Genomic DNA, 7,819 nt, shown 5'->3' on the forward strand with positions numbered 1-7,819 from the left:
GTGAGCTGGGCTATGTTGAGATGCTCCTGTAACTTTCTTGGATACAATGAAGAATATTTTAAAGACCGTTGAAAGATCTTGAACCAGTCATTTACACTTTCTGTTCATTTCACTTATCTGTAAAATGCAGATGTTGGACTCAATGCTCTTCGTAAGGTCTTGTCTTACTTTAAAATTCTACACTCCTGTGACTGCTCTTTAGTTTTGTATGTAAATATATTTTTTTGGAAATGTTTTTTGTACCACCAAGTTAACAAACTGTAAAGCAATAAATGGCATCATCATATTGGTATTTAGCGATGATTTTGCAATTATTACAGGATGTCACAATGAGAAAGATCAGGAAATTAGATAACACATGCTAGTATCTTTTATAATGTTTGAATTGTAAGAAAAATAGGGGTGGTTGACACTGCAGATGTAAAAAGATTAGTCAAATTTTAGATAAATTGTTCTAACTAGAATCAAAGTTGATAAGCAAATTTCTATGAACAGTGAAACAGACAGTTCGTGAAAAAAAATACATGGGAAAGAAAAACAAGCAAACGTATTGTTTTTTCTAATGTGTGCTTGCAAAAATTGTTGAATGCTCTGGTTTCTAGCACTTGATTTATCTTTTATGATACTTTAAACCTCATGTTTGTTCAACAATTTAAGTCTATTTGGTCAGTTAATAAAGGTCCTGCAGCATGTGAGGGAGAAGATGAAATTAAATGAGAGTTTGAATGGAAAACCAGTTCAGATGGTCATGGTGTTCCTCCTCAAACTGAGCTTGAATCATTATTTAGGAGTCTTTTTGAACAAGAACTGAATAGAGAAGAGATTTTTCAGAGATAACCTGGTACAAACCAGTTGAAAATGGGTTGATAGGCTGCTAGAGTTCTTTTGACCTGAAACACTTCAGGAACTAAACACAAGGCTATGATTCAACTCTCTGATCTTCTAGTAGTATCCTGGGAGCAAATATATTGCATCTTTTTTATTTTTTTTCTTTTGAGACAGGGTCTGTGCTCTGTTGCCCAGGCTGGAGTGCAGTGGTGCAATCTCAAGCTCACTGCAACCTCCGTCTCCTGGTTCAAGTGATTCTCCCACCTCACTTGATTCTTGTGCTTCAGCCACCCATGTGGCTGGGATTACAGGCATCTGCCACCATACTAGGCTAATTTTTGCATCTTTAGTGGAGACAGGGTTTCACCATGTTGGCCAGGCTGGTCTCAAGCTCCTGGCCTTAAGTGATCCGCCCATCTCGGCCTTCCAAAATGCTGGGATTACAGGTGTGAGCCATTGCACCCAGCCTATATTGCACCTTAAATAACACATTTGGGGTTAGTTATCATTATTTAGTTGGGCCTACAGAAAATCATTAGAAGACATTTTGTCGAAAATTCAGAATGCATGTTAATTTAGGTGAAACTAAAGGGGGAGGAGAAGTATACCTTGCTAGATGGCATCTCGAAAATAATCAGTAAATTTAGTTCCAAATGGTTTTCTCTCATTTCATTGCACCTAGTTGTGTAAATAATCATCACAGACCATATTAGTAGCTCTAATTTTCTTGGTTTTAGGAGGAGAACCTGTGTTCAAGCTTCACTTTGACCAAGTGTGTCATGTAATTATCAATGTCTGTTGTAAGGGCTAAGAGATTCATCTAAGGGCTAGATGAATTTGATAAAATTTTTTGATCCCACAATAATAACCACAAATAGTATTATCTGCTGGGTGTGGTGGCTCATGCCTGTAATCCCAACATTTTGGGAGGCCGAGGTGAGATCACTTGAGGCCAGGAGTTCAAGATCAGCCTGGGCAACATAGTGAGACCCTGTTCCTACCAAAAACAAAAACAAAAACCCCACAAAACCCAAATAATATTATATTTGTCATTTCATTAAATTAATAATTGAATGCTGATACACATTCTCTTCTGATTTAAATCTAAATTTGAGAATTACCTTTTCCTTAAAAGTGTTTTCAAAGAATCCTTTCTGCTATACAGCTATAACTCTTTTTTTGATGTGTTGAAATTACAGATCAAATTTTTTTCTAATAAATGCTACCACAATGCCAGTTTACTTAAGCATTTAATTAATTTTAGCTATCTTATGACTCCAAGGCAATAAATGAATTCAGATAACACTAGGATTGGCAAACCAGGTTAGATTTACCCTGAATAAGAATTGCTTTACATGTTCTAGAGCAGGGTTTCATGAAAAAGGAAAAAGAAATTGCTTTACATGATTTTGCTGATGTCACACGCAATCTTTTATTTTGATATTTTATTGTAATCCTTTAAGGACAGAGACAATGCTTATTTTTCAAAATTTGCTACAAGTATTCATGGAATTTGAAGTCCCTATTGGTGTCTAAATCAAGAAGAGTCAGCCAAGCGAGGCATTTATCCAGGTGCATTCATGCCAGCGTCTGAGGTCAGGGAGAGGGGAACAAACTAGAACTGAAGTTGCTTCCTGAGTTGACAAGGAAAGGAGAGGCTCAGAAGTGTAAACCCAAACTTAAGTCGTGAAGAATGTAGAGGAATGTCAGGGAAATCAAGGTAAGTGAGCAAGTCCAAAGAGCAGGAATAAGGAATAAGACAAACAGAAAAGGACAAATCCAAGGCAAAAAGCTGAACTGAATGGGAGCCAAGTGGGAGCAAAGGCAGACCCTGTTTCAAAGGTGGGGCACATCTTTTCAAGCATAAAAAGGAGCTTAAGGACTCATGTATCTTTATGAGTTCTAAGGTAAAACACTCCCAAAGAGGTCCAAGAGTGTGTTTGCCTCACTTCTATCTTATTTATAATCCCTTTTCTCCTTCCACTAGAACTCTGTTCCCTAGTACAGTGACTTAAATTCATCCTTGGTGTCCATTTTTTCCTTGACCTATATCCACCTATAATTTGTCCTTGACCTATATCCACCCCTAGGGGGGGATAGTGAGGTGGTGAGGGAAGATATAAAACTTTCAGTGCTCCCTAGGGGTTTGCATGTGGGGCTAATGTTCCCTTCTATTTTGATCTTTCCTGGACTAACCCAGCTGCACTGTAGACCAACCGGAGTTGACCTTGTTGCTACTACCCCACAAAGGAATATCAGCTGAATGTCAGAAGAGAACAGCTTTTTCTAACCTGTACCATCGGTCTCCTTGTTTATCTGACACCAGCGGCTTGGACAACTCAGGCTCTCAAGTCCATATGTGAATGATGCTTTAATGTATCTGAAATATGCTTTCGAATGTGACTCACTTCAAGTCACATTATGGACTTCAAGCCATATTATGCACTAAACAAAGGAGGCCCCCCAGTCTCTTTCCCATCTATTAAGCATAACAAAAAATTACTTTATTAGATTTTATAGCGAAACAATACATTGTATTCATGAGTATGATGCTATAGTATTAAGATAACTCAGTAACACACCCACACATACATGTCATTAATGATTCCATTTCTCTTTATCATAGAAAAATAAAAGTTTTACAAAAGGCAGAGGAGTTCCATTTAAACACCAAATTTTCTTCTTGGAACAGCTCTAGCCAGGGGGTCCTTCCATTAGAAACAAGTAGCTCTTTCAGAATCTCCAGTGTTAGAGAATTCCAATTTTAAGTCTCTCATGCATATCACTTTTCTAAAAGTTCACAGTATCAACTGAACACATAAAATATCATAACAACCCATACCCATAAAATTTAAACAACACAAAATTAGCCACAGCATAAGTATGAATCTCCTTAGACCAAAGTGTTTCAAAATATGTTCTATAGAAATTAAGGAATTGCTTAACAAGGATGATATGGTAGCTACAAGCAGAGTGGCATCCCCCCAAAACTAAAGTAGCCCCATATTTAAAAAGCATTTTTTTATATTGGGGCTCCTCAGAAGATTTCATTTAGAAAATAGGTTTCACTCCCTTTGCAAAACTTTGAAAACTGTTGCCTTATAAAACGGTGTTTTCCAAGTTGAAGTAGTGTTCCCAGACTCCAATAAATGTCTCATAATTAAGAATCACATTGCTGTTATAGCTGTTGACCTTGAAAGGGAGGGAGTGTGAGAAGGAATAGGCAGAGAAAAATGAAGAGAAAAAAAAGAGGAAAACTTCTTGGTTTTTATTCACCAAGTGCTATCAGTCAAAGCCATTTGCCCAGTGACCATTACCTGTGAACTTAAAATGCAAGTGGCTACCAAGCAATTTCACCCCTAAATATTTATCTAAGGGAAGAGAAAAACTAAGTCCACAAGAAACCTTGTATGGGAATGTTCATAGTAAATTTTTTCGTAACAGTCCCAAACTGGAATCAGCCCAGATGTCCATCAGAAGGACAAACTAATACATCTATACAATGGAACAATTTAGCAATAAAGAATAAAATACTGATACACGCATCAATATGAATACATCTCAAAACTATTGCATTGAGTGAAAAAAGCTGGACCAGACACAAAAGAGTACATATTGTATGATTCTACACATTAATTTCTGGAATAAGCAAATATGTTAGAAAAATATCTGAACAGTTGTGGCTTCAGAGAATGGGGTTACTGGGAAGGGGTACAAGGAAAATTTCTACAGTGATGGAAATGTTCTGTATTTTGAGTGAGGTGTGGATTACATAAGTATATATTTGTCAAAACTGATGAAACTGTACTTAAGGTTTGTGTATTTCACTGTATGAAGGTTTATCTCAGTAGACAATTTTAGGGGCAATTACTCCACTGAAAAACTATATATGGAAAAAATAAGAAAATCTCTTTATGAGCTCAGAGTAGAAAAGTATTTCTTAAACAAGACAAAGTTCTATATAGAAAATATTGAGAAATATCTATCAAAATTAAAAACTTATGTGAGAAAGAAACTTACAGAAAAGGCCAATTCAGAAATGAACAACAAACATTTAAAAGGATGCTTGATCTCACTAGTAATCAGATGAATGCCAGTTTCTAAAAAAATCTATTTCATACCTATTGTATTGGCAGTAATTTCAGAGTCTTGTGATCTGGTGAAGCTGTGGGACTGTAAATCATACTGTGCTGTGGGATTGTCAGTTGGTTCAGCCATTTTAGTAAAAACACACATCCTACTACCTAGCCACTGAATTTCCATTATGTATCCTAGACAAACTCTTACATGAGCACAAGGAATGTGTACAAGGATGGTTATTGTAGCAGCATTTGTACTCCTGAAAAATTGATTCTACCTTAATGTCCATCAATTAAGAGATGGAAGTAGTATACTCATATATTGCAATATTATATGGCAGTTAAAAGGAATAAACTAGATCTATGCATATCAAGATGAATAGAGCTTAAAACATGTAAAAATAAATACTATGTTATATGTATTTAGTGACACAATTTTTTTTTTTTTTTTTTTGAGACAGAGTCTCAGTCTGTCACCCAGGCTGGAGTGCAGTGGCCTGATCTCAGCTCACTGCAACCTCTGCCCCCCGGGTTCAAGCGATTCTCCTGCCTCAGCCTCCCAAGTAGCTGGGATTACAGGCGCCTGCCACCACACCTGGCTAATTTTTGTATTTTTAGTAGAGACGGGGTTTCACCATCTTGGCCAGGCTGGTCCTGAACTCCTGACCTTGTGATCCAACCGCCTCAGCCTCCCAAAGTGCTGGGATTACAGGCATGAACCACCATGCCCAGCTGACACATATTTATACCCAAATGTGTAAAAGCTGCATCAGAAGGATATGCACAAAAATCTCGAGATTGGTTATGCCTGGGGCGCAAAGAAAGGAAAAACAAGTGGAGTAATATTGGAAAAAGACCTTATATGAAATATATTATCAAGAAATAACTGGAAGAATTAGACAAATAAATGAATTTTGATTCATTTCTCACACCATGTACAAAAATTAACTCAAAATGAATCAGAAACAGGTGTTGATTCTGAATGTGAGCTTGGATTAGGGAAATAGTTTCAGATCTGATACCTAAAGCACAGCCATAAAAGAAAAACAATCAATAAGTTGAACTTCATCAAAATGCAAAACTTTTGCTCTATGAAAGACATTACAAAAAGACGGGCCAGGCATGGTAGCTCCTACCTGTAATTCCAGCACCTTGGGAGGCTGAGGCAGGCACATCACTTGAGCTCAGGAGTTTGAGACCAGCTTGGCCAACATGGCAAAACCCTGTCTTTACTAAAAATACAAAAATTAGCTCAGTGTGGTGGCATGTGCCTGTAGTCCCTGTAGTCCCAGCTACTCGGGAGGCTGAGGCAGGAGAATCATTTGAACCTGGGAGGTGGAGGTTGCAGTGAGCCGAGATTGTGCCACTGTACTTCAGCCTGGGCGACAGAGTGAGACCCTGTCTCAAAAACAGAAAAGAAAAAAAAAAGAAAAAGAAAAAGAAAAGAAAAGATAAGCCACAGACAGAGAAAAAATATTTGTAAAGCACTCTTCTGACAACAAACTTGAAGCCAGACTATATGAAGAACTATCAAAACTCAACCAAAAAAAGACCAAGTTTTTTTTTTTTAAATAGCAAAGTTTTGAACAGATACTTCACCAGAGGAGATATATTGGTAGCCAATAAACATATGGAAGGTGCTCAACATCATTAGTCATTACGGAAATGCAAGTTAAAACCATGATGAGACAATGCTACACTTACTAGAATAACTTTAAAAAAGAACCTGACAATAATATCAAGTGCTGTTGATGATGAGAGGCAACTGGAACTCTCAGATATTGCTGGTGGGAATGCACAATGGTACAACCTCACTGGAAAACCCTCAGGCAAAGAAATGCAGGTGCTGCTGTTGAAATCAAACAGCTTATGAGGAAGTGGTAAGGGCAAGAGAATATGGGTGGAGTACCCATAGTATCTGTTAATACTCCCACGTAATGAGTTCTTCAGTTCTGAATTTACTGAGAGCTCTGTCAGGTTCTTGTAAGTTGGCCAAGTCAACCATAAAAATTCTATTGCTTTGCATTTTTTACAGTGCAAGTCAGTTTCTCAATCCTGACTAAGAAACACAAGAAAGGAGGAAAGATGGGGCATTTGCCTGCAATGTCAGATACAACCAAGCCAAAAGCCTACACCCCAAAGCCCTGTGTATTTGGAGGTGAGCCTGCCCTGGTCCTCCAGGAGGATATCCAGGGTCGCCCAGACCAGATTTTGCTTTCTCACCAAGGAATGTCGCCCACCACGAATAAAAGATGCCTTTGCAGATTGAGGTTCCGGAGTGTGAGTTTATCAAAGAAGGAGCAGGAAGAAGGAAAGAAGGGAAAAAAGAAAAGCCCCCACATTTCTGCCAGCGCCTCATGCAGCTTACTAGCTCCTCTCCCAGGGCCTCCAGGAGGCTCTCTTCACATGGAAGGAGGCTGAAGAGCAGGTCTTCCAGCAGTTTAAAGTCTCTGGAGGAACTTGTGCCACAATCCATGCCTCCTCTACCAACTGAACTCTCAACTGGGTCTGTTGCCTTCTGCCAAATGTTATTTACATCTCCAGGAGACATAAATATTGGTCACAATGCCTGTGAATCTTGAAATTCTATTCTATTCTATTCTCCCACCTACTATAGTAAATTCCAGACAGCGATAGGCAAAAAAGAGCCCTAGGCAAGGGCCCACTTTATTCCATCTCTTTCCTTGGACAATTCTATTAGGTAACAAAAGAATCAACTTTATTAGGTATAATAGGCATGCAAGAAAAACATTTATTTAAAATGCACATCAGGCTGGGCGTGGTGGCTTACGCCTGTAATCCCAGCACTTTGGGAGGCCAAGGTGGGTGGATCACCTGAGGTCAGCCTGACCAACATGGAGAAACCCTGTCTCTACTAAAAATACAAAATTAGCCAGGTGTGGTGGTGCATG

Source organism: Homo sapiens, chromosome 9, assembly GCF_000001405.40.
Source record: "Homo sapiens chromosome 9, GRCh38.p14 Primary Assembly".
Lineage (NCBI taxonomy): Eukaryota > Metazoa > Chordata > Mammalia > Primates > Hominidae > Homo > Homo sapiens.